At 42.6% G+C, this 26,133-nt stretch overlaps 1 protein-coding gene across 3 annotated transcripts in view, besides 1 other annotated feature; it reads right to left on the bottom strand.

Moving 5' to 3' along the window:
- BAALC (BAALC binder of MAP3K1 and KLF4) overlaps positions 1-26,133 on the bottom strand; it is an 89,581-nt gene that overhangs the window by 12,759 nt on the left and 50,689 nt on the right. Inside the window, exons 2-3 of one of the 3 annotated variants that reach the window (NM_001364874.1) lie at positions 16,785-16,889; positions 4,462-4,628 (exon numbers count right to left, since the gene is read on the bottom strand). The exons of 1 other annotated variant lie outside the window; for it this stretch is intronic. In NM_001364874.1, the coding sequence (NP_001351803.1) occupies positions 4,462-4,628; positions 16,785-16,889 (272 nt within the window). The remainder of the gene's footprint in view (positions 1-4,461; positions 4,629-16,784; positions 16,890-26,133) is intronic. One more of the 3 variants, NM_024812.3, reaches the window with a different exon arrangement.
- Positions 7,907-8,712: an enhancer, noted in NCBI's record as "H3K27ac-H3K4me1 hESC enhancer chr8:104221063-104221868 (GRCh37/hg19 assembly coordinates)". NCBI's record gives its function as "activates a minimal SCP1, AML or CMV promoter by ChIP-STARR-seq in naive H9 embryonic stem cells {active_cell/tissue: H9 hESC(naive)}" and the evidence as "EXISTENCE:reporter gene assay evidence [ECO:0000049][PMID:30033119]".

The following is a 26,133-nucleotide window of genomic DNA, read 5'->3' as shown; positions in this document are numbered from 1 at the left end:
GGCAAGTGGATACTGACTGAGCCAGATACTGAAAATGCACAAAGCTTAGGCCCAGAGTCTAAGAGACACACTAGGAAAAAAACAGTATATCAAAGGCCCAGGAGGGAATAGGAAGAAAAGTATTTTCTTTGGGCAAATAGTAGGCAGTTGAGAGCCTGCCTGAGTGTTGGTATGAGGTAGCTCTGCTGACAGAAGCATCAATCACAGGTAAACTTAGCTTCTAAACATCTTAGACAGAAAACCTTTGCGTTGGCCTTTGAGGGACTCAGAATGGCCAGTGACTGGTGAGGTCGCAGGATGTAAAGACCACTGATTATCTTTTAAATATAAACCGTTAAAACTAAAGTTATCAGCTCCCTGATCTTATTTTGAAAACAGTTACAACACAGCCATGTTCATTTAATTATGAAAACAAAAGCTGCACAGGCTGCTCATTGATATGCATCATCTGCCCAGGGGTGCTGCGTTGGGCAGGTGTGTGTGGTCATCACTCCTCTGTGACAGTTTCCACTGCTGCTGAAGCCCTACGGGGGCTGACTCTGCCCGCCCCATTTTAAAGCCCCATGAGCTCCCAAAGTGTGTGGGGTGTGTGTGTATGTGCGGCATGGGGGCATGCTTTCCCTAGCTATATCTGAGTCTCAATTCCCATCTGTAAATTGGAGACAACAATGTCAACATTATAGAGTTAGTGTGAGGATTAAGAGATAACATAACAAAGTGCTTTGCACCCTATGTCATACCTAGACCACATATGAATAAATACTTGGTAGTGGCCGGGTGCAATGGCTCACGCCTATAATCCTAGCACTTTGGTAGGGTGAGGCAGAAGGATTGCTTGAGCTCAGGAGTTTGAGACCAGCCTGGGCAACATAGTGAGATCTCCTCTCTGCAAATAATTAACAAATTGGCTGGGCATGGTGGTGCATGCCTATGGTCCCAGTTAGTTGGGAGGCTGTGCTTGAGCCCAGGCATTAGAGGCTGCAGAGGGCAGTGACCGAACCACTGCACTCCAGCCTGGGTGATAGAGTGAGACCCCATCTATAAATAAATAGATAAATACATAAATTAATTAATTAATTAATAAGTAGTTGCTACCACAAGGAAGACAGACTAAGCACAACTTACTGATTTTTAATTCTTTTGTTCCATAACTGGAACTCAACCACTGCTAGTTAGAGTATAAAGCAGCATAACCACTTTGGAAAACTATTTGTCAATGTCTATGAAAGTCAAATATACCCCTGTCCTGTGACCCAACAATTCCACTCCTAGGTATATTCCCAAAAGAAGTGCTGTCCACCAAACCATGCACACAAACATTAAAAGCTGTATTGTTCACAATAGCCCCAAACTGGAAACAACCCAAATGTTTATCAAGTAAAATGGGTAAATTGCAGTGTATTCATATAAGGAAATATACATAACGATGAAAATGAGAAAATTATTGCAACTCAGAACAATATGGGTGATTTTCACAAGGATAATGTTGAGCAAAAGAAGCCAGACATGAAAAAGCTCACACTTGTATGATTCTATTTATAAGTCTCAAACCAAACTGATCTATAATACTAGGAGTGAGAAGAATGGTGACATTGTGGATTTCTGGGCTGGTGATAATGTTCTATGTCTTCATCTGCATGATGGTTACATGGATGTGCCACCTTATAAGAATTCATTGAAGTTATGAGTTGCATTTCTTTGTGTATGTATGTGGTATGTGGTAGCCTGCATTATTGCTCCTAATTCTTTGCTCTCTCTCCACTTTGGACGGAGTATGTTTCCCTGCTTAAAGTTGGGCTTGTCCATTTGACTTGCTTTGGCCAATGGGATATTAGTCAGTATGATGTGAGCAGAGACACGAAATGCGTTCAAGTAGTTTGGTTTTGCCCCCTTGGGTTTCTGCCATAGTCATAAGAATATACCCCAGAAAGCTGCTGCTTTCTTGGCCTGGTTTCCAGAATAATATATATGGAACAGACTGAGCCAGCCCTGGAAAAGTCAGACTGAGCCTTTTTAAGTTACAGCTGACCATGGTGGCAGTGGTGGGGGTGGCGGGAGGGTGTTGTCTCAAGCAACTGAATGTTGCTGTGTTTTGTTATGCAGCATTATTGAGGCAACAACTGACTAATACACTATTCATTTTTAAAATGTACTTGAAGCTATGTTCTATCTTCTTAATAGAAACCTTTTCTGATTTAAAGCTACCAATATCCTTCTACAACACTTATATGGCCTTATTCATGTAACTCAATCAAATGAACCTCAGTTTCCTTGTCTATAAAATGGGGATAATGCTTACTTCACAATGCTCTTAGGGGAACTTAAGGAGCCAGTAGACTTAAAAGCACTTTGTAAACTGCAAAACATAATTTTAAAGTGATGGATGGGGGGGCAGGAAATGAGGTGGGGAAACAAGTGTATGGATCATGCCATCCACCAGGCAAAGCTGCTTCCTCTTGACCACGGCTTATCCTGGCTCAGAGGGTAAGGGCACAAGTGTGGGAAGGAGACTAGAAGACAAATATCTGGGCCTGTGGTAGAGCAGTCATCAAGCTTTTGAACGTAGTTCTGTGGGTCCAGACTGTCTTGAGAGATGGCAATGATGATTAGGTCTCTAGAAGGCCACCTAATGCACAGGCAAAGTAGACAATACAGAACTCTATTAAGGACACCACAACCCTGAAGTCTACACCCCTCATTACCTTCTCCAGTGTCTGCAGGGCCACCATTAGTGTTTCATTTAAGTGGATTATGGTGCTGTGTGCCTAACTATCCCCTGTTAATCCTTACTGCCATTCTTATCTATATCCTAGTTTATAAGAGGAGGCTCATCTGTTCACTCATTTTGTATTATTTCCATTGTGTGGATAATGAACGTGAGATTCTGAGAGATTAAGTCATTTCTGAAAGGCCTTTAGTTAGTGAGCTTTAGAGATGAATTTGCAACAGGTTTTCTGACCAAAACTTAGAGAGGCAACTCACTGATATGAGCAAGAATTCCATCATTAGATAATGAGTTGTACTCTCAGAAAACAGGTGGCATTGGCCCGAGGGGACAGGACCAGTAAGTTTTTGGAACTGGGGACTAACCTGATTAAGCCTATCAAACTTAACCTGCATTGCTTGCTTTTAATCACTCACTTCTAGTTAATCTTAAAACCCATATAGCTGAAAGTCCCATAGCTAACCAATCCACTAGCTTTGTTACAGACTACATATCTGACATATAGATCACCACTGTAACAGTTGCTTAAAGTTGTTTTTCAGGAACTTGGGCTTAGCTCTTGTCCAGTTAAAGCCAGTTGAGATCACTGACCCTTCAACTGGGTTTGTAGAAATGCCCAAGAGGTGACCTTTTGAAGTCAGAAGGCCAAAACTCTTCCTGAAGATCATGCAAACACAGCCATTTTCTGAACATGAATCCTGTGAAGAGCCATGAACCATGACTATGCAAGCACAGACCACTGATTATCTCACTTTCCCCCACTGCCAATCATCTTTCCTCATGCCTTAGATTACCCGGCTTCTTTATCTCATAGATAGCCCTAAACCCTATCTTTGTGGAGGCAGATTTGGGATCTGTTCTTCTGCCTCCTCACTTGGCTGCCTCATGAATAAACTTTCTCTTTTGCAAAACCCATTGTCACAGTGATTGGTTTGCTGTGCACAGACAGAATGAACCTGGTTCAGTATAATTTTGACAGAAGAGATAGGAGAAAATGGGTATGGAGCCTAGGGTAAGCAGTGGATTTTGAAGGGGGTGGGGCATAGGGAAGATAAGGAAGTCAGAAGGAGGAACTGGGTGGAAGAGGAAGAGACTGCAGATGCCTGAGCCCTGCCTACTAAGAGCGCTCATTCTGGGCTGCCCCTCCTGTACCCATAAGAGGATCTTCCCAACAATAGCTCTGGGAGAAAAGAAAGGATACCCGCCACGTCCTGGGACATCACTGACCTGCCTCTTCCAACAGTCTGGGGATGATGCTGTCACCACATTCTGCTATGAGAGCCACCCTTGGGGGCCCTTCCAATGTCCACCTGGTTGGAGGGCCTGAGTAAAATGCGAGGCTTGTTTCCAACCACTCTGGTCTTCTCTTTCCTTCCTCTGCCCACTCCCCACCCTGCCAACCCCTGAGACTGGCCAGCTGCCTGGCCTAAGACTGGTTCCTCTAACCAGCACAGTCCTCACCATCAACATGGTGACAGTGGCCACAGAAAACAAGATCCTTGAATAAAGCTGTACTTAAGCAAACATACACATGGAAACAAAAAGCAGCAACCCTCAAGGCAGGGTTTTGGGGTGGGGTTTGCAGCAATTTTTACATGGGTGGGGCAGAGACTTTTTTTTTCCAAGATGAGCCATCCCTGGTCCCTCCCTGGACATAGCGGCTGGGTGGCTCTGCCCTGAAGCAAGCCCTACCCCCATTCTCCAGTCCCCAGTTGATTCTGTGGCTGCAACCCTACCTCTGTGGTCTGAAGGCCATTCTGTTTCTGGGTCAGAGGGCCTGAGCTGAGGCTCTGGGGATTTGGGCACTGGGTCTCACAGTTCGTCTTCTTCTCTGGGTTGGGTATTCCACCTGGGGCTGTAGATCGGGGCACACCATTGGAGGGCAGTCCATCTTCCAGCATGCCTGGGGGAGGTAAGCAGAGGATGGAACCAGAAGCTTGCACATGGCAGATGTTGCAAACAATCCCAAAATGGTGGAGAAACAGATAGTCAAAATGAAAAAACAAAAGTTGCCAGAAATCCCACCATGCAGAGCTACCCTTTTCTATAAGAACATATATGCTTTTTACAAAAAGGAGATTTTAAAACAATTCTGTAACCTGAAATTTTTACTTAATGATACCTTGATGACTTTTTTCTATACCATTAAATATTCTGCCATGTTATTTTTCACATGTCTATGTCATCATTTATTTACCTAATCCCCTTTGCTTGGATATTTGTTTCCACATTTTCATAATAAATCCTACTGTGATGAAACACCTTGTGGTTAAAGTTTTATTTTAAATTACTTCCTTGGGATAAATTCCTAGAAGTGGGATTACTGGCTTGAAGGTTATATAAATGTTGGGTTTTTATTTTGTTTTGTTTTTTAGAGAGATGGTCTCACTCTGTTGCCTAGGCTGGAGTGTAGTGGCATGATCATAGTTTGCTGCAGTCTCAAACTCTTGGGCTCAAGCGATCCTCTCACCTCAGCTTTCCAAGTAGCTGGGACTAAAGGCACGTGTCACCATGCCCAGCTAATTTTTGTATATTTTTTTGTAGAGACAGGGTCTCACTATGTTGCCCAGGCTGGTCTTGAACTCCTGGCCTTGAGCAATCCTCCCACCTAAGTCTTCTAAAGTGCTGAGATTACAGGCATGAGATAACATGCTTGGCCAATACAGAGATTTTTTTTAATAGCTCCAGCTCAAAGTGTTGGACTGAGTATGTGTGCCTTTTACAACAAATGCCAAGAAATGATAGAAGTTTAAATAAATAGCCTCACTGAAAAGGGAGAGGACTACACTGAGGAGTTAATAAAGGATGAACAGAATCTTATTGGAAAGAGAAAAGGTGGCCCAGGAAGCATGACAGGGAATGCCAAGTATGATGTCAGAAGCTGACAGAGTTTCTGCCATAGTTACAGGGAGGCAAGAAGCAGCAAGGTAGCCCGGACTTTCTACTCTTCCACCTGCTGAGGCCAGTCAGCAACAATAGAGGAGTCTGTATGGGGCAGGGACTAGAGAGAAGGGCAGTGCTCTCAGGAGCTGGAGACACCTGCGAGAAAGAAAAACCCAGGTTAAGAAGACTGGTATTTTGAAAATAGTGCCAAGAGTTAGGCCAATAGTAGTTCCCATCCCTGCTCTCCAAGTGGCTCTCTCAAATAGATGCAGATGACATTCTAGCAGGAAACTTCAGTTACAAAAATCAGTACAAAAACAAGAATGAGCAAACATTTGAGGAAGGCCAACACCACAAAAAAGAGACAACTAACTCTGCAATGGAGATCCCCAAAAGAAATGGAGTTAATATGGTATTCAGAAAAGAATTTTCAATAAGTATAGTCAATCTGCTCAGAAAAATGGAGATAATATAACCACAAAATGAGGACGAGTTACCCAAAAATGTTCAATCAGAGATATTTGAAATAATAATCTTAAATGTTGAAAGAAAAAACCCTCAATAGAGAAGCTGAATAACACGATAGACAGAAAGAGCAGTTTCGTGAGCTGAAAGGGCAGGCCAAGGAATTCTCCATGGTAGCACAGAGGGCTGAACATTATTAGGAAATGCAGGATAGAAATCCAGTAAATTAAGCCTTGATCTAATAAGAGTTGTAGATGAGAGGCTAGAGAAGATTGAGGGGAAGCAATATTCACAGAAATAATAAAGATTTCTTAGAACCAAAGAAAGATGTGAAACCTCAATTTGAAGTAGGCTACCAAATACTTGGCAAGAGAAGCCCAACCTAAGACAGACCTTAGTGAAGTTTCAGAACATCAGTGATATCAAGAACAGCTTAAGAAGAGGAAAAAAAAATCAAGAGTGAGACAGACATCAACTTTTCATTCATCTTATGAAAACATTGTTTCATAAGAAGACTATGAAACAATGTTTTCAAGATTTCAAAGGATATACACATTTTTAAGTCTTCTGCAATATATTTTCAAATTTACCTCTACAAGTCTGTCTTCTGTTGACCATCTGCCAACAGTATATAAGACAGCAATATTCCCTAAATCCTGACAAATACTGAATATTTTCTTTTCTGGTTTTCATCTTTGTCAATTTAAGAGGAAAAATAAAGTATCTCATTGCTTGGATTAATGCTTCTTGATTTACTAAAGATGTTATATTATTTATATGCCTAATGACTAATTGTGTAGGTTTATATTTTAATTGTAAAGTCATTTGTTTCTCTTTCCTTTGGGGTATTTGCCTGGGCTTGCTTTTAATCAAACGTAAAGAAAAACAAACAAAATCCTTTCCCTGGGTGTTGAGAAATTATTTGCCATGGGGCAGGCATCAGAAGCGCAGTGTATTTTTGTATATCAAGGGCGGGAGGGTGTTGACTGGCAGAGTTGCTAAGACTGCAGTTCCCACACAGTGAGATGGCAGTGTCCACAGGACACCTATCTGTGTGTCACCCACTTGCTGTGCCAAATGCTAATGAGCTTTCAACTGTGACCATGGGATAGAAATCAGAATTCAAAACATTGAAAGTCACAGTGGAAAGTATCTGGTCCAGAGCTCCCTGACTGGCAGGCCTCAGCACATTGGGGTGCTGTGATGGATTCAAGGTGAACAGAGAAATGGATTCCTGCAGCTAGGCTTGTCCCAAATCCTTGTGGCTTCCTTCCTCCACCAATTACAGCCTGCCCCTGCTCTTCCCATTCCCACCTTTTCTCCATCCTGTACCTAAAGGGGCCTGAGATGCATGTGTATGAACACCACAGTACACATGTCTCATCTCTGCCCACTCCTCCCTGCAAACAGCCTGGGGCTAGGGCAGTGTACACCTGCAGAAGAGATCAGGAAAACAGGCCCATAAAGACTCTGGAAGCAGGCTTGGTGTGGATTTGGATTTGGTGTCATTCAGACTGGATTCCAGGGTCCCAGCACCCACAGAAGAGCCTAGAATAGTGCTACTCAGTGTCCTCCAGGGACCAAACTGTTGTTACTGTCTGCTGTGGGATACATATAAGAACTGATTGCAAGCATTTACAAATTTCTATAGCAATTTGACATTGCCAGAACATCCAAAGGCAGACTTGTCTAGTTGAACTTACTGATTGAGCAGGGTGCAAACTAAGTTGAGTGCTTTTAAACTCATGGGGTGAGTCACAAGTGGGGTGAGTTGTGTATTAATCACACAAAGTAAGACCATATATTTGTCTGTAATGGACTGGGGGAATAAAAGCAATGAATTCTGAAGGAGGGCTGAGGCTTTGGTAGATACGTCCCCTTGGCCTCTGGATAACTCAGCCTGTGGGAAGGGTGGGGCTCATGGGGTGAAAGGGGCAAGGGGTGTCTGAAGCACAAGACCAAGGTAGAGACTCCATTTCCTAAGCCTAGGGTAGAACTGCCTTCAGCCCTTGGGGCTGCTGAATGGGAGTCAAGGCTGGCCAGGGCTCCCTTTGCTTGCTGTCTCCCCCAGTGTGCCATACAGATGTTGCCTTGTTTTTTTTCAGATGGAGTCTCGCTCTGTTGCCCAGGGTGGAGTGCAGTGGCATGATCTCAACTCACTGCAGCCTCTGCCTCCTGGGTTCAAGCAACTGAACTGCCACAGCCTCCTGAGTAGCTGGGACTACAGGCATGCGCTACCACACCCAGCTAATTTTTGTATTTTAAATGGAGATGGAGTCTCACTGTGTTGGTTAGGCTGGTCTCAAACTCCTGGCCTCAAGTGATCCACCCGCCTTGGCCTCCCAAAGTGCTGGGATTACAGGTGTGAGCCCCCACACCCAGCCTCCAGATGTTGCCATTTTCTATGTGCGTCATGACTTGGTACCCGGGTCAAAGGTCTGTGAGAGGCCCCTACTGAGCCATCCACTGAATGCACCATGATGCTGCCAGCCTGGATGGGGATGGCCACTCCCTTGTCATACCTGAGACACTTCAAGGGGCACACCTGACCCCAATCCTCCCTATGCCTATGGCCAGGTCCTCCTGGGGGTTGAAGGACATGAAACACAGCTCCCTTCTCCCTTCTCCCAATGCAATCCAGTTGCTGATCCATGAGGAGGGCAGCAGGGAAGCAAGGAGAGGCCTTACGCACCAGGATCAAGAGCAGGCAGCAGGGAATATATCCCAGGGAGGCAGAAAGGCAACAGCAAGTGGGGCCAAGTATGATTTACAGCTCCAAGCCCGGGGACACGCTCCATTGTCCATTGGATTTACTTATAAAACACACATTAAAAGACAAAATTATGAAGGATTTCACGATGGTGCCTGCAGAGCATTAGGTCCTAAGCGCAGGGCCCCTTGTGAGCCCAGCAGGCCCCGTGAGGCTGCACTGGCTGCACATTCGTGAAGCTATCCCTGCCAACCCATAAAACAGACCAAGGCAGAGCTGCCATAACTGAGGTGCCGATGGCCAGTCCTTCCCTCTCAGCAGCTCCTCCTATCCCCGGCATCTTTGCTAAGCCTAAGCGCTGCTAGAAACACAGTTTAAAAATCCATCATTTGGTCTAGAGTTTTCATTTTTCACTGGTGGCCAAACAAAAATTACAACTTTGGTTTCTTAACCCCCCAGTCTAGACTTCCTCATCTATTAAATGGAGATAATACTGCCACCTTCATGGGGCGATTGTAAAGATTAAGTGAGACCATATCTAAAGGTTCTAACGATGCCTGCACACATATTGCACTGATTATTGGTGGCACAGCCTATCCCCGCCTCTTGCCCCTCTCCATTAGCCACACTGGTTGCATTCCTGATTTATGAGTCACACAACCAGCTAAGTGCTAAGCCACTGGCTTACTGAGTATGATGAAACAGAGAAGCTCTGTGACAACCAGGGCCAGCTTGGGGGATTGGCATTTGCCAAACAATGAGCAGGGGTCATCTGTCCAGTGTGGTCAAGAGGACACCCCAAGGGGTTAGGAATATAAGGTAATTTTCTGTTACTTCTATCTGTAACAAACCAGGTGATTTTGCTGCATGGATTTTATTTAACTCATATTTTCTAGTTATGAAAAATAGATTCAATGTTAGAAAACTTTTAGAATTCAGAAAAACACAAAGGAAAAATAATTTTTTTACCTCCTCACCCAGCGATATGTCCTGTGTAGGAGACCAGAATATGCCACCCCAAAATGTGCCACTTTGGCATAAGGATTATTTTAAGCTGAAGGCAATGGAGAAGTAGTTCTCTGTCACCGCCTCCCACCTGCCCCCTCCCCCTGCCATTTGCCTAAAAGTAGGGCATAAATTTACTTTTCACTGGTCACTAAACAAGAGGAAAGGCTTCTTCCCCTCTCTACCAGGAAAGACAAAGGTTGATCACTGAAGACAACTTCAGACCCTTATCAGCCTGGAGAGGGCACCAGAGGAATCTACATTAACAAGCTTTACTAACTAGCCTTTATCTACTGTCTATCTGCCTTCCCATAATTTTTTACCCCTAGAGACTCAAAGTCCTTTTCCTTTGTCTTGTCACTTCTCTAAAAATTTACTGGTTTTTGTTGAAGATGCTACATACGCTGGAATTCCAAGCCACTTCTTTGAGATTTAGTAATTGCCTAGATATCTCCCATGTATATGTAAAATATACGTGTTAATGAGCTTCTGTTTGCTTTTATCTTATTAATCTGTCTTTCATTACAGAATTAATCACAGCTAAGAACTAAGAGTGGAAAGAAAGTTATTTTTTCCTCCCCTGGACCTGTCAACAGAGCTGTATGTCCTTCCAACAGATGCTATTAGTGCCTGCCCAGATCCACACACCTGACCCTGCACCCATCCCCAGGTGTGGTGGATGTTGGTAGCTAACAGCTCACCCCTGGCTTCTTCTCCTAAGGCTTGCCCTTGACTGAAGGGAGCCCCCTTACCAGGAGAAGCCTTGCCGATTATATTAATATCAGTGGCAGTCCATGCTAATGACCAACTAAAAATACCTGTTGGTGGGGAGAGTGGGTACAATAGCCCAGCTCCTTTGCTTCTAAGCAATTTCTGTCCTTTCACTCCAAAGTGACCCATAGGATCAGGCTGAGGCTAGACTAATCCTGAAACCACATCTTTGCTCAGCTCCTTGTCCTGCCCCATCCTGCTTCTCTCCCTCCCTCCTTCACACTCTTCTCCCAGGAATGCCCCTAGGAGTCACTTGCACAAAATCTCCATCTCAGGCTCTGTTACTACCAGAGCCAAGACAATATACATACCCTGCTTGTTGGATGTATTTCTTCTGCCCCTCCAGTCTCACTCTCCCCTTCTCTCTACCCTGGTCTGTGTCCCAGGAGACGACTGACCTGAATGCACATGTCAACAGGCTCTCTTGTCCACCGGCTTCTAGTGGGGTTTGACCAATGGGAGGAATTAGCTTTAGAGGGGAAGGGTCTGCGGCGGCACATTGAGGTCAGGTTTTTATTTCCCTAGCTCCTTCCTCCTTGCAGGTTGTCTTGGGTGGACCATGACCTCTACATACTTCTCCAAGAAAATCTCTCAGCAAGAAAAGCCTGAGAGATTGTTCAATTAAGTCTCCCTGATGACTTCAGGGAGAGCTCAGGGAACTGAGGAGAATGGAAGACAGATGGTCAGTTGTTGAGTAGAGAGTTACAGATGCTGTATCAGTCAGGGTTCTCAGCTGTAAGCAACAGAAATTGATTAGAGAATTAAAGCTTTAAAAAAGGATTTATTAAAATAATCTGGGAGCTCACAGTGTTTCTGGGAAGGCTGGAGGTTGAGGCATGGAGGCTATCAAGGGACAACTTCCTAAATCTTTCCACCAACCCTAGACTCTGGAAACTGCCCTCAGCACTGCTGCCACACTTATATTCAAAACTTATTATTTTTCTGAGATAAAAGTTTAACTGGGTGTCTTCAATTTTATCTGGCAACCCTATTGGGGTTATGCAAAATGCTCATCAAGTGCCCCAGAGTGGGGACATTGTTGTGAAAGTTGCACTGTACTAAACCCTGGGCTCTATTTGCATGTCTACTCCACACCACTCCTCTCGTGCTGGGGAGACAGGAGAATTACCCTTATTTTACAGAAGAAGAAATTGAAGTTTAACCCAGGTTCCGTATGTTTCCAAAGCTTGTGGTATTAGCAAAAACTCCCAAGTAGGCAGTTCTCAAATTTTAATGCATGAAACTACATGAAACTCACCTGGGGTGTCTGTTAAAATGCAGATCTCTACATTCATTCCTCCAGAACTTCTGATTCAGTAGGGGCCCAGGAATATGCATCTTAACAAGTTCCCTGTATCCCACCCCCAGGGATTCTAAGGCAGGGGATTCTAAAGACTGCAGAGGCTCATCTATATTATAGATATATATAGATCTATCTATCTATCTATCATCTATCTATCTGACATAGAGATCAACACTCGTGTTAGTTTTGAGGGTCACAAAGTACTCATGTATATTTTTTCCATAGTGAAGTCTGTACCAGTAAATTAGGAGACATTTATGTGCCCCTAGAGTATTTCTTGTTTGACACCCTTCACAAAATTTTCATTCCATGCAGGAAACAAGTCAAATCACTGAACCTTGCCAAAAGATAGGAAATAGCTGTGTCCACAGCTTGCTGATAAATTGCAACCCCAGGGATTCCTTGCCAAGCCAAAGCTTCTTGCTATTTTGGAAATGGAGCTGGGCAGGAGGGAAGAGTACAGAAATTAAAAATGGTAGCTAGAAGCCATGTGGAGAGCAGGTCAAGGGGTAATTTCTCCTTAGCTTGAGCACCTGGCTTTCCTTGGTGAAGGTGGTCACAGAGAGTTGGTCCAAAATCATCAGAAACAACCTGCAAGTCATTCTCCTCAATGACAGAAAACCAAAGTATAAGACATTGGCAATCAATATGGAAAGAATCTCCTAAAATCACAGCCAGTGAAACTCTGGTTCATCAAACACTGTCTGGGCTCTCAGGTCCTGAACACATGGCAGATAATAATTTTGTCTAAACTGAGGTATAAGTAAAACAAGCTGTGATTGCTCAGCCACTTACTAAGAATTTGTTTCATCTTTAAAATGAACTAGAATGGGACAGTGTCATTTCTTCAATCTGATGAGAAATTGTTGGCCACATACTATGTATAATACTATAATATGTGACCTTTTGCATGGCTATTACAAACACATTCTTAGAAAATATTGAGCAACCCTTAAATTTATGGTCATTTTTTTCTGGACAATGGTGCCAAGACACTTCAATGGGTAAAGAATAGTTTTTCAACACATGTGCTATGACAACTGAATATCTACATGCAAAATAATGAAGTGCACCCCTACTTCACACCATATACAAAAACTAAGTCAAAAGGATCAAAGATCTAAATGTAAGGGCTAAAATCATAAAACACTGAAAGGAAAATATAGGTGTAAGTCTTCATGACCTTGGATTATCCAATTGTTTCTTAGAAATGACCCCAAAAGCACAAGCAACAACAATGAAAAATAGATATAATGAGCATTATCAAAACTGAAAACTTTTGTGATTCAAAGGACACCATGAAGAAAGTGAAAAGGCAATCCACAGAATAGGAGAAAAAGTTTACAAATTATATATTTGGTAAGGAACTAACTTTCAAAGAACTCCTACAACTCAATAATAAAAAAGATAAATAATCCAGATAAAACATCAGCAAAGGACCTGAGTAGACATTTCTTTATAGAAGATATGCAAATGGCCAATAAACACATGAAAAGATACTCAGCATCATTAGCTATCAAAGAAATGCATATCAAAAACCACAAGGATATACCACTTCACACCCACTAGGATGGGGCTATAATAAAAAAAAGATACAGAATAAGTGTTCTCAGAAATGTAGAGAATTTGGAAATCTCATACACTGCTGGTGGGAAGACTAAATGGTACAGCTGCTTTCAGTCTGCAATTCTGTAAAAGGTTGAACATAGTGGTACCATAACCCAGAAATTCCTGTAGGGTATACACCCAAGAGAAACGAAAGCCTGTATCCACACAAAAACTTGTTCATGAGTGTTCTTAGCAATCTTATTTATAAAAGCCAAAAAGTAGAAACAACCCGAATATCCATCAATTGATGAATAGATAAATAAAGTATTTTATGTATATACAATGGAATATTATTTGGCAGTTTGACAAGAAATGAAGTACTGATATATACTACGACATTGATGAACCTTGAAACCATTACGCTACGTGAAAGAAGCCAGTTACAGAAGGCCACATATTATATAATTCCATTTATATGAAATGTTCAGAAATAGGCAATTCTATAGATAGAAAAGTAGTGGTTATGTAGGGCTGGGGGTTTGGGAGGAAATGACAGTGACTGTTAATAAGTTCAGGGTTTCTTTTTGATGCAATGAAAATGTTCTAAAATTGATTGTGGGGGTGGTTGCACAACCCCAGGAATTTAAAAAATCATTTAATTGTATGCTTTAAATGGGTCAATTGTATGGTATGTGAATTATACCTCAACAAAGCTGTCATTTTTCAAATGGTGAGCAGTACATTTTGGAATGTTTATTGACTAAAGAAAATATAGAAGCACATTTGGATTTGAACAGCAATGATCAAGGAGAGAAACTGACTAGTGGACTCATATACTAGACAATGTAGCACTAGCAACAGCCCCCAAAGGACATGGGTCCTGACTAGGAAGATATTGAAAGACCACTGTTCCCTGTGATGAACCACCAGCCTGTAACATCTGCCGTTGGCCATAGGGTTTGGTAGGGGAAATGGCTTCCCCATGGTACCCAGCAGCATGTGAGGCAGGAGCCTGCTGACACCGACAACTGGAACTGACAGGACAGGAGGCAGAAGCAAGGAGAGTCCTATTTGTCTTTGGCGAAATGGGCCTGAATTCTTCTCTTCCCAAAAAGATGCCCAGGAGACAACAGACAAGCTAATGAACTGGAAGGCAGCCAAAAGGAAAAGTAAAAATCTCACTTGCCTTCTCTCTAGTGCTACCCTTTGGACCTGCCAGTCTTCTCTGAGGGCGTACTTACTTTCCTCTCTCCCTTTGCTCCTCTCAGAGGTGCCTCCCTTCCTTGAAACTTCTTCACCTTTGCTTCAAGAGCACCACAGAGCAGATTCTTCAAGGCAGGTACTGCCATATCTTTATGTTAATTACTGTGGGGTGTCCCAACTCGGTCATGAAATTCAGCTCTCTATCCCACCAAAGGTGTTTATATCTTACTATTCTAAGGTATGCAATATTGCTAGGATTGTAACAATACTCTATATTTTACCAGAGCCTTCCTCCCAAATTGCTCAAAACACTTCTCTTATGCTCTTCTCTTTCCTCTTTGTGTCTCCTTGAATCATTCTCTGACACTTTTAAAATGTGTACCTTCTGTATTAGTCTGCTCAGGCTGCCATAACAAAGTACCACAGACTGATGGCTTAACCAAGAGATATTTATTTTCTCATAGTCCTGTAGGCTGGAAGTCCAAGATCAAGGTGTCAACAGGTTGGTTTCTCCTGAGACCTCTCTCTTTGGCTTGTAGATAGATGTCTTCTCCCTCTGTCTTCACATGGTCTTCCCTCTGAGTGTGTCTGTGTCCTAATCTCTTCTTATGACACCAGTCATACTGGATTTGTGCCTACCCAAATAACCTCATCTTACCTTAATTACCTCTTTAAAGGCCCTATCTTCAATTATAATCACATTCTGAGGCGCTGGGGAAAGGCCTTCAAGCCATGAATTTTAGGGGTACACAGCTCAGGCCATATTACCTTGCATTTCTTTTTATAAAATAACATTTATGATCTCACATAAGAAATAGGTGTTTCATGTAGAAAACTGTACTATATTGGTAAGAAAAAAGTAAACAAAATTACTCATAATCTTATCTACCAGGAATAACTACTATTGACATTTTGCCTACTGTGTCCCAAAACTTCAGTGCATAGACATGTATAGATTCTAAAAATTGAGACTATACAATACGATTCCATTTTCCACCTTTATCTGCCAACATTTCTCCTGTTTCATTCTTCCTTCATCTGCTTCCTCCTCATCACAGATGATTTATTCTTTCCTTTGTCACTTGTCTTTCAATCAGCTAATTATTTGAAAACTATTTATTTGGTACCTACTATGTGCCAGGCTCTATGCTGGGTGCTGGGTTTACATCTGAGGCTTCTAGTTTAGCAGTAGGTTGCAGTCTCTCAGCTAAATCCTTTTTCCAACCACCTTCCTTTCCTTGCTGCTTCTCCCTGTCTCTGCCTAGTTCCTCAATTCTACACCAGAGAGGATACAGGGCATAGATGACAAAGACTGAATTCTCATTGGAGGGAGAAGAAAGAGAAGAATTTGAATGGGCATTAACCTAATTCTCCTTAAGAGAGGGAGAACAAGGCAAAGTGGAGAACATTTAGAAGGCAATATGTCTTATCCATCCACATGTCTAACTCCTCCTTCCTCTTCCGTGTGACACAGTGTAGATCTCACCTTCTTACTCAGGCTCAAATGGTCTCTTCAGGGAATTGTTTACCTGTACAATCCCAACAAGCAGCAACCTTACCATGGAATGCTCCCCTAGGGTGACCAACAGGTGCCTGGGAACAAAGTCCCAGGGGTTGCACATGAGGGGTGGTCCTCAGAATCATAATGCCCCTCTGGTGGCTGATTTACTCAGGAAGAGTTGCTGACTTTCCTTGGCCAAGGCCCTGCCCATCATGGCCTCCTTTCTGCTTGAATACGGAGACCTACTTTGATCTTTGATTCTTACTTCATTTCCTTACATATCCAGACAATTTTCCCTGCTTGTAGCCTGATCTCTTTCCACAAAGTCAGCAGATTTAATCAGTCAGAGATTTTAAAACGCCCTGGAGATGACTCCCTTAAACTGCTCCAAAGGTACCTAGTACGATAGGATGCTTGATGGCCTTCACTTTAGACTCTTTTTCTTAGTCACTGGAATTTTTCTTTAGGGAAAAAGTATTCTAATGCAATTTTCCTCCCTGCTATGGTCTGAATGTTGGTGTCCCCCCAAAATTCATATGTATAAATCTAACCCCCAATGCAATAGTATTAAGAGGCAGGACCTTTAGGAAGCAATTGCCATGACGGTTCTGTCTTCATGAACGATATTGGTGCCCTTATAAAAGAGGTTGAAGGGAGCTCATTGACCCACCATGTGAGAACACAGCAAGAGGTGCCATCTTTGAAGCAGAGAACAAGCCTTCATCAGACACTGAATCTGTTGGTGCCTTGATCTTGGACTTCTCAGCCTCCAGAACTGTGAGAAATAATTTTCTGTTACTTATAAATTATCCAGTATAGGTATTTCAGTCTAAGCCAGAACAGAGGAAGACAGTCCCTGTTGTCTTTTACTCTTTGGTTGAATTATTTTTGGGGGTGGTTAGCCTTTTAAAGAAGTGGCAGCTGTTTTCCTGGTTGTTTTTGTTTGTTTTTTACTCCTTGACATTTTCTGACCTTAGTACAACTAGCCTTTTCATTAGGCTATTTCCACATCAACTGTAGTTGGCACTAAATTTTTCTCTGAGGTGGATATTAGAAATTAGATGATATTCCTTTGGGTATATACCTAGTAATGGGATTGCTGGGTTGAAAGGTATTTTCATCTTTCAGTCTTTGAGGTTTTGCCACACTGTCTTCCAGAATGGCTGAACAAATTTACATTCCCACCAACAGTATATAAGTGTCCTTTTTCTCCACAACCTCACCAGCATCTGTTATTTTTTGACCCTTTAATAATAACCATTCTGACTGGTGTTAGATGGTATCTCATTGTATTATAAAAACACATACCCTTGCATGTTCATTGCAGCACTATTCACAATAGTAAAGACATGGAATCCACTTAAATGCCCCTTGGTGATAGACTAGATAAAGAAAATGTTGTATATATACACCATAGAATACTATGCAGCCATAAAAAAGAACAAGATCATGTCCTTTGCAGTAACATGGATGGAGATGGAGGCCATTATTCTTAGCAGACTAACACAGGAACAGAAAAACAAATGCCACATGTTCTCACTGATAAGTGGAGCTTAATGATGAGAACACATGGACACATAGGGGGAAACAACACACACTGAGGCCTATTGGAGGGTGGAGGGTGGGAGGGAGGAAAAATCAGGAAAAATAACTAATGGGTACTAGACTTAATACCTGGGTAATGAAATAATCTGTACAACAAACCCCCATGACACAAGTTTACCTGTGTAACAAACTTAATACTTGTACCCCTGAACTTAAAAGTTAAAAAAAAAAAGAAAGAAATTAGATGATACATCTTTATTAGATGTAAGAAATATATTTTGGCCAATCAAAATTTGAATTCAATCAACTGAATTGTTTTAATTCTTAAAATTTTAAAATCGCTCAAAGCAATCAATCAATTATCTAGTATCCCTTGGGTGCTTACCCTGTGCCTAGCACTGTGCTGTTAGAGGGGAATATAAAACACTTGCCTATCTGAACCCTTTATGTATCTGTAATTTAATTGGGAACTTATGGCTTATTGAAGAATTACTGAAAAATAGAGCTATGCAAAATTTAAATAATATATCATTTCTTACCCATCAGAATGGCAAAAGTTAAAAAGTCTGATAATATTACATGTTGAAAGGATGTGTGTTAACACATTCTCTCATATACTGCTGGTGGAAGTGCAGGTAAAACTGTCCATTTTGGAGGGCAATTGGCAGAGCCTATTCATGTTTAAAATGTGCACATCAAAATAACTCAGCAATTTCAGTCTTCAATATCTGCTTTAGAAAACCTCTTAACCATTGCACAAACGGGGTTGTTGAAGATGTTCTTTACACCACTGTAATAATGAAAAATATAATCAATGTAGCCATTCTTCAGGTGGATAATTACTAAATAAATTGTGGTTTATCTAGACTATGGAATTCTATATAGCAATTTAAAGCTAATAAAGTAGACTTATATAGATAGAAATACATAGTGATGAATGGAAAAGCAAGTAGAGCATAAATATGTGCAAATGACAGCTTTCAGAGTCTCACTCTGTTGCCTAGGCTGGAGTGCAGTGGCACAATTTCGGCTCACTGCAAGCTCCGTCTCCTGGGTTCAAGCAATTCTCCTGCCTCAGCCTCCTGAGTTGCTGGAACTACAGATGTGCACCACCACACCTGGCAATTTTTTTTTTTTTGTATTTTTAATACAGACAGGGTTTCACCATGTTGCCCCGGCTGGTCTGAAACTCCTGACCTCAGGTAATCTGCCTGTCTCAACCTCCCAAAGTGCTGGGATTACAGGTGTGAGCCATGGAGCCTGGCCAGCTTTTATGTTTAAAAAACTATATTATATCTATGTTATGCTATTTTTGTACAGGGATACATACACACACATATACACACAGAAAACAAACTAGAGAGATGCCCAACAAACTGATAACAATGTTTGTCTTTGGGGAAAAGGCAGGGGACCAGGATCACGGGATGATCAAAAGGGCATTATCTATAACATTTCTACCACCTTTTTTGATATATTACTCGTGAAATAAGAATGATTTTTAAGAAATAGAGCCATGTCACATTTTGTCTTTTCTAATTAGTAATAGCTTTAGACTCACCCAGAATATTAGGCTATTTATTTTTTAGTTATTATATCACATTTAATCATCAAATATGCTATCAAAAATAGTAGTCAAATATAATGATACATAAGAACAGAAACACCACATAGGAATCAATACATTGCAATGCCTATTTTACAAAAAAAAGTCCTACCTTTTTAAATCAATGGTTGGGATGCCCAACTTTCTGTAGGGCAGTCAGATGGTAATGTTCCTCAAGGCACCCTAACAGTACATGTAGATGGAAAAAAATTATAGTTGTTCGTAAGAAACTGTGGGATATTTAATGGCTCAAATCAGGCATGGTTAGTCCTCACAGAGCAGAGGATTCTTGAGCAATGTTTAAAAGGAAAGACTGGGCATCGTTGGGATGAAGGCTGATATAGTTTTGATACTTGTCTCCTCCAAATCTCGTCTTGAAATGTAATCCCGTGTTGGAGGTGGGGCTGGGTGGGAGGTATTTGGATCATGGGGCATATCCTTCATGAATGGCTTAGCACCATCCCTTTGATGATGAATGAGTTCATGCGACATCTGGCTGTTTAAAAGTGTGTGGCACCTCCCCCACCACTCTTTCTCCCGCTCTTGCCCTGTGACACGCTGGCTGCCCGTCACCTTCCACCATGATTGTAAACTTCTAAGGCCTCACCAGAAGCAGATGACAGTACCATGCTTTCTGTAAAGCCTGCAGAACCATGAGCCAATTAAGCCTCTTTTCTTTATAAATTACCCAGCCTCAAGTACTTCTTTATAGCAACACAAGAATGGCCTAATACAAAAGTTGAAAGTAGAAATGAAATGAAATATACATTTGTGGGTTTGTGCCAGCCTTATGTTCAGACCTAAGCATACAAAGATAGAAAGACTCGAAAAACAATTCATATCTAAGATCATGGAGTTGGAATTTGATTCCCAGCTCTACTTCATTGTCACAACAATGTTGTAGGTAGATGTTATGATCCCCACTCCCTGCCACCTCTTTTTTTTTTAAGAAGAGGAAACTCAGGGTCAGGCAATTTAAAGTGCCTGAGGTCCTGCTGCTGGTGCCAGAGCCAGGCTTCCGCCCAGATCTGCCAGACTCTAAAACCTTTCCTTTCACGTGCATTTGTGTTAACTTACATTATTAAAACAAAAAAATCTACAATGAATCATATTTTCCCTTTTCAGAGCTAGGCAATAATTAGTGGGTGTATGGTGTCATCAAAATAAATGAAAGCCTTTTGTTTGTTGCTTTAAAGGTAATCCATAGTTCAAATGTCTTACTCCTCTAGGGTGAAGCATATCTAAAATCCAAGTAACTTGCCTTCAGAATTAAGTAGGTCACACTGAAGTGCAGCCAGTGAGAAAATGAGTGTATTTAATTAAACTACCTTGGTGCATTTTCTTCTCCCCAGACCCATGAAATGTTCTCCTGCCAGGAGCTCAACCCTCTGGGTCACCCACTAAAGATTAGACACTGATTCCCTAATACTCAGAAGCCACCACGAGGCTCATTTTCTGCACTCAGCAGCTCCCATGTCAGGGATACAGCCAGCTGGTGTTGGTCAATCTCTGCTCCAGGGAGGATTGCTCTGAGGTGGGAAATAATACCAGGGAGGTTCACCAAGCCAGGGTGCTGCAGACCTTTGGTGATCCAATTAAGGGGGCTGAGAGAGGCTGCCAAACTAAGATGAGAAGGGATGGCGGCCTGTGGACTTCATTCTACAATGGGTAGCCAGTGCATTCTTTTAGAGCTAAAAATCTGGCCAGGTGTGGTGTCTCACACCTGTAATCCTAACACTTTGGGAGGTCAAGACAGGAAGATTGCTTGAGTCCAGGAGTTCAAGACCAGTGTGGGCAACATGGCAAAAACCCTTTTCTACAAAAAATAAAAAAATTAGCCAGGCATGGTGGTGCATGCCCGTAGTCCCAGCTATTTGGGAGGCTGAGGTGGGAGGATCACTTGAACCTGGGAGGTGGAGGTTGCAGTGAGCTGAGATTGCACCACTGCACTCCAGCCTGGGCAACAGAATGAGACCCTGTCTCAAAAAACGATAACAATAACAACAAAAACAAAAACTACAAATGTGATCATGGCCTACCTCTTCATAGACTTCTTAATGACCTAAGGGATAGACATACCGATCCCTATGTGCCCTGCAAGGCTCTTTGTGAGCTCTCCTGCTTCTTCTGGCCTGATGGGCTTATGCACTTCTCTCTGTCCTCTATGCTCCAGCCTTATAGGACATTGAAGGCACCTCACAGTCTTTATAACACTGTTCCTTCTACTCTGAAGGCTCTCCCAATTGGCCTAATTCTCCATCTTGACTTAAACATGAATTTTTGGGAAAGGGGCACCTTCCCAGACTCCTCCTCAAGACCGGGTTGGACTCCCCTGCACTCCTGCAGTAGTGCACTTCTCTTTGGTGCATTCATCACTGTTGGTATCATTTGTTCCATGTCTGCTTGCCCCATTGGTCTGGGAGCTCCATGCCTGGGTTGCTCAAACAATATTTGTTGAAAGAGTCTTGAACTGTTTAGCTGGTTGCCAGAGTAGGTATCATCACTGCAGGAAGAAGCTGCCATATGGATCTCTATGTGTTAAAGTATTTTTTCCCTTGATGTACCAAACATCTGAAATTCCAGAGAAAGCAAGTGCAAACATGAACCATGCTTGCTCTTCTAATTCCTATGGAAATATCAGGGAGTGAAAGGAACAGCTCGCATAAACAGTGAAGTCAGCCCTGACAGAGACTTGTCATAGGGTGCCAGCCACTCATCCCTCCCTCCTCGTAAGGGGTTGCTGTGGTTCCCAGGGACTCCCAATGAAAGCTGGTGTCTTTCCAGGGTTCAGGGCTGAGTGAAAACTTGAGGACAGTATGTTGAGCCTTCTCCAGATTCCTCATGAAGTTATGAGCGATTGCATTTGCCATTTAGGGGTTTGTGCTGCAGGAAGGAGAAATACCTTCTCCTCATGGACATCAAAGCCCTGTAGCAAAAGCAGTTCTCCAACCTCAGCTTGGTAAAGATCACGCTGAACTCAGCTTACAGGAAGAGCTTGGTGATGGGGCTGGGGATGCTGCACAGGGGCTGGTGAGGGTTCATGTAGACCAGAGTCATATAGGGCTTTCCTTCCCTCTTGCCACAGATGGCTACTTCGCTGCTGGGAAGGGGAGATTTGATGATGGGACTCCAGTAAGGTGCTGAGGGCCTGACTCCCAAACTTTTTGATTCTGGGACTAGAAGGTCTACAGGGCCAACTTTGTGCAGAACAGGAAGGGTCTCCAGCCTCAAAAATGCACCTCCTTTTCAATGATGCTTAAAATTCCTTGCCCAGGTGGTATGATTTGAATGTTTGTCTCCCCTCCAAAATTCATGTTGAAACTTACTCCCCAGCTGTGGTGGTATTAAAAGGTAGGGCATTTGGGAAAGCGATTAAGTCATAAGGGCAGAGTCTTATGAATCACTACTGTATAAATGGGCCGAAGGAAACTAGCGTAGGCCATTTTTTGCTCTTCCACCATGTGAGGACACAGCATTTGTGCCCTTTTTGCCCTTTGTCTCTTCTGCCATGTGAGGGCACTAGATGGCACCGTCTATGAGGAATGGGTCTTCCCCAAACACTGAACCTGCTGGCCCCTTGGTCTTGGACTTTCCAGCCTCTAGAACTGTGTGAAACAAATTTGTGTTTAATTTATAAATGACCCACCCTCAGATATTTTGTTATAACAACATGAATGAACTGACAGCTGAGAATCTGACCTTTTATTATACTATGATTCTCACTAAGCTTTAAATTTTAGTTACCTCCAGGGGAGGGAATATGGTAACTTTTACTCAGCTCTCCCAATCTTTTCAAGGCACAGGATTCTTATTTGTTACAATGACCTCACGGTTTGCTTCTAGGTTGAAGAAGGAGAGAGAAAATGATAAATTCACATCATTTTGTGACAGGAATTAAATTAAAGAAAAGACTACATTATATTGTGTGTATTTGCAATGTCTCTCTACTTTCCCTAATCCTTAAAGGCAAAAGATTCTTGTTTGCTAGAATGATCTGATGGCTTGCTTCAGGGTTAAGGAATCCCGGTAATTAGCCAGTGGAAAGCAAGTCAAAGAAAAGAGAAACATTAAGTTGATTTATTTAATAGGCTTTAGGTGGAAAAGGGATGGAGAAGCAGAAGAGTGGTATCAGGGAAAGAAGATTTGGGGAAAATCTCTCCCTGCTTCATAAGAAAGTCTGAGAGTAAGAGGATTTCAAAGAGGTTTTCTTTGCATCAAAAGAAAACGACTTGCTTTTTGATATTTTTTCTTGCGAGACAAAGCAGGATTTGAGCTGCTTTTTCTTTCTTCATTGGCATATCTCTGAATTTGACTCCATTTTGAAAGTGAACCTCTTGGGGCCTTAAGCATCTCTGCATTGATGACTTAAATTCATGTTCACCCAACAAGCGTCTTTGGTGGCTGGTTCACTGTGTACCAGGGAAGAATGTGCTATCATGGTGTGGGCACTGCTTTTGGAGTCAGGCAGGCCTGGGTTCAAATTCCAGCTCTGTCCCTTGTATGACCTTTCAGAAGAGGCTAAATAATAATATTGACCATGTGCCATATTTACTCCTGTAAGTGGGCATTGTTATTCTCATTTTACAGACTAGGAAACAGTGGCTCAGAGAGGCCAAATAACTTGCTAAAAGACAACCAACCAGTGATGGATCCAGGACTCAAAACCCAGATCTGTGTGACTCTAAAGATGTCTTGCTCCCATCTATTTGCTCCCATCAAAGAAGAAAGAGTAGGTGAGCTGACACACGGTCAGGGCTAATTTCACAGTTCCCCACTCCCAGGCACAACAATGTGCAAAAGGCTGATTTCAGGTCCTTTCTTGAGAGCAAGAGAGGGCACTGAATGGGTGAAAGAAAATGGAGAAAAGAGGCAGGGACAAGGGAATGTCACCAAAGATCAACTCTGCCAAGTTGGCCAGGATGTAGTGACTCCTAAAGGAACTAAAATCCAGATACTAAGGGGCCCCAGGAGGCCAACCAGGAGATCAGAGGTTGAGCTGAAGCAGGAGACCCAGATTTACAGAGCAGATTGCTGCTCTATCAGGGTCTGTTTACTGCATGCATATCAGAGGCCTGATAAGTGACGCCTGTGACAGGGGTAAGCCATAAAGCATAATGTTCACAAGCTCTTTCTATGCCTCACCTTCTTTAGAAGGACAGATAATTGGGGGCTTGGCTAGCTACTGAAACTTGGTTATGCTGAATAGAAGTGGACAGAGCCCTAGAAAAACAGACCAGGGGGTTGCAGATCGTGGAGTTCTACACCAAATACTCACTGCACCTCTCTGATGTGCTAGACTCTGCTCTAGGGCTGGGGGTGCAGAGGGGAGGGAGAGAAGCTCATTCCTTGTCCCTGGTGGTGATATCTGGGATGCTGGTAAGAGAGAAGTCTAAGAGGTGTTGCTGGTGGCAAAGCACAGAATGGGCCACAGAGAAGCACAGGCCAAGTCCTGCATGGCCATATGTATCTCGCTAAGGAGTGGATGCTGTCCCATGGCAATGGCAGCTCAGGAACTGTGTGGAGGATCCATTAGAAGGGCTCAAGCCTGGCGGTAGGGAGTCCAGCCAAGGGAGACTTGCCTTGGGGGTGCTGCCTCCTTTTAGAGTTTCCCTTGGCCATCTAAATGTATTATCTTCCCAGCTGGACTCACCGAATTGGAAATCTCTCTCAGAAGGCTGTAACTGGGAATTGTGCCACTTCAGAATGATGGCTTTTGCCAAAAAACTCACCTGATAAATGCAACTGACTATTTAGAAAGAAAGGGGGAAAAGCAAAACAATGGTGAATTAATAAGGATAATCCCGTATCTATAGCCACAATCTAAATGAGAAGGATTTCAGTAACAATTTAGAAAGGACACAGTCAGGATGAACAGGATTATGTTTGACAACCTACTCACTACATAGCTCACTATCAATAATTAAGTAGTTGGCCGGGTGCGGTGGCTCACGCCTGTAATCCCAGCACTTTGGGAGGCTGAGGCGGGTGGGTCACCTGAGGTCGAGAGTTCGAGACCAGCTTGACCAATATGATGAAACCCTGTCTCTACTAAAAGTACCAAAATTAGCCAGGGGTGGTGGCACATGCCTGTAATCCCAGCTACTCGGGAGGCTGAGACAGGAGAATCGCTTGAACCCGGGAGGCAGAGGTTGTGGTGAGCTGAGATCGCACCATTGCACTCCAGCCTGGGCAACAAGAGTGAAACTCCATCTCAAATAATAATAACAATAATAATAATAATTAAGTAGTTGTTGACACCCAGACTCTCTGTTGTGGCAGTCATATAAGACACTGATGCTGTGGGTTTTCTACTGAAAGTATAAAACAAAAACTCCAAGTGGGCTGATTTGATTTTGTATTTCTGAAATGCGGCAATTGACTCTTAAGCCCCCATTCCTGTCTCTGCAGCTTTCCCTGGGTAGCTTGGGAAACAAGTTTAAGCTTACTTTTTTCTTGTGAGAAATCTAATTTGAGCTCCCCCTTTTGACAAGTGCCTGCAAAGTTCTGGGTGTAGATGCAGTTGGCTTTGCCTTAAATCATATTCCTGTTCTTGATATTTATGGAGGGGGCTGGTTTTTCTGATGGAACAGTTTGAACATCATCATCCGTAAAGTCCGTAACCTGCTTGTGTGATCTGACCCCACTCTAAATGCATGGATTCCATTTTGAACCAGAAGTTCTGCTTGGTTTGGCACGCTAGAACCGGGGCATTTGAAGACAGAAAAATTGAAATCCTGTACGGTAGTTTTTCTTCAGTGTAAAACAACAGCAAAACTGATATTTCTTTGTTTCCATTTCTTTGTTTCCCATTCAAAATATCTGGATCACCCTGCAGAGATATACAAGAATCCCTGTGGAAAACCTCATG

This window comes from Homo sapiens, chromosome 8 (assembly GCF_000001405.40).
Source record: "Homo sapiens chromosome 8, GRCh38.p14 Primary Assembly".
Taxonomy (NCBI): Eukaryota; Metazoa; Chordata; class Mammalia; order Primates; family Hominidae; genus Homo; species Homo sapiens.
The sequence above is the reverse complement of the archived record's forward strand: the minus strand, read 5'-3'. Positions and strand labels throughout refer to the sequence as shown.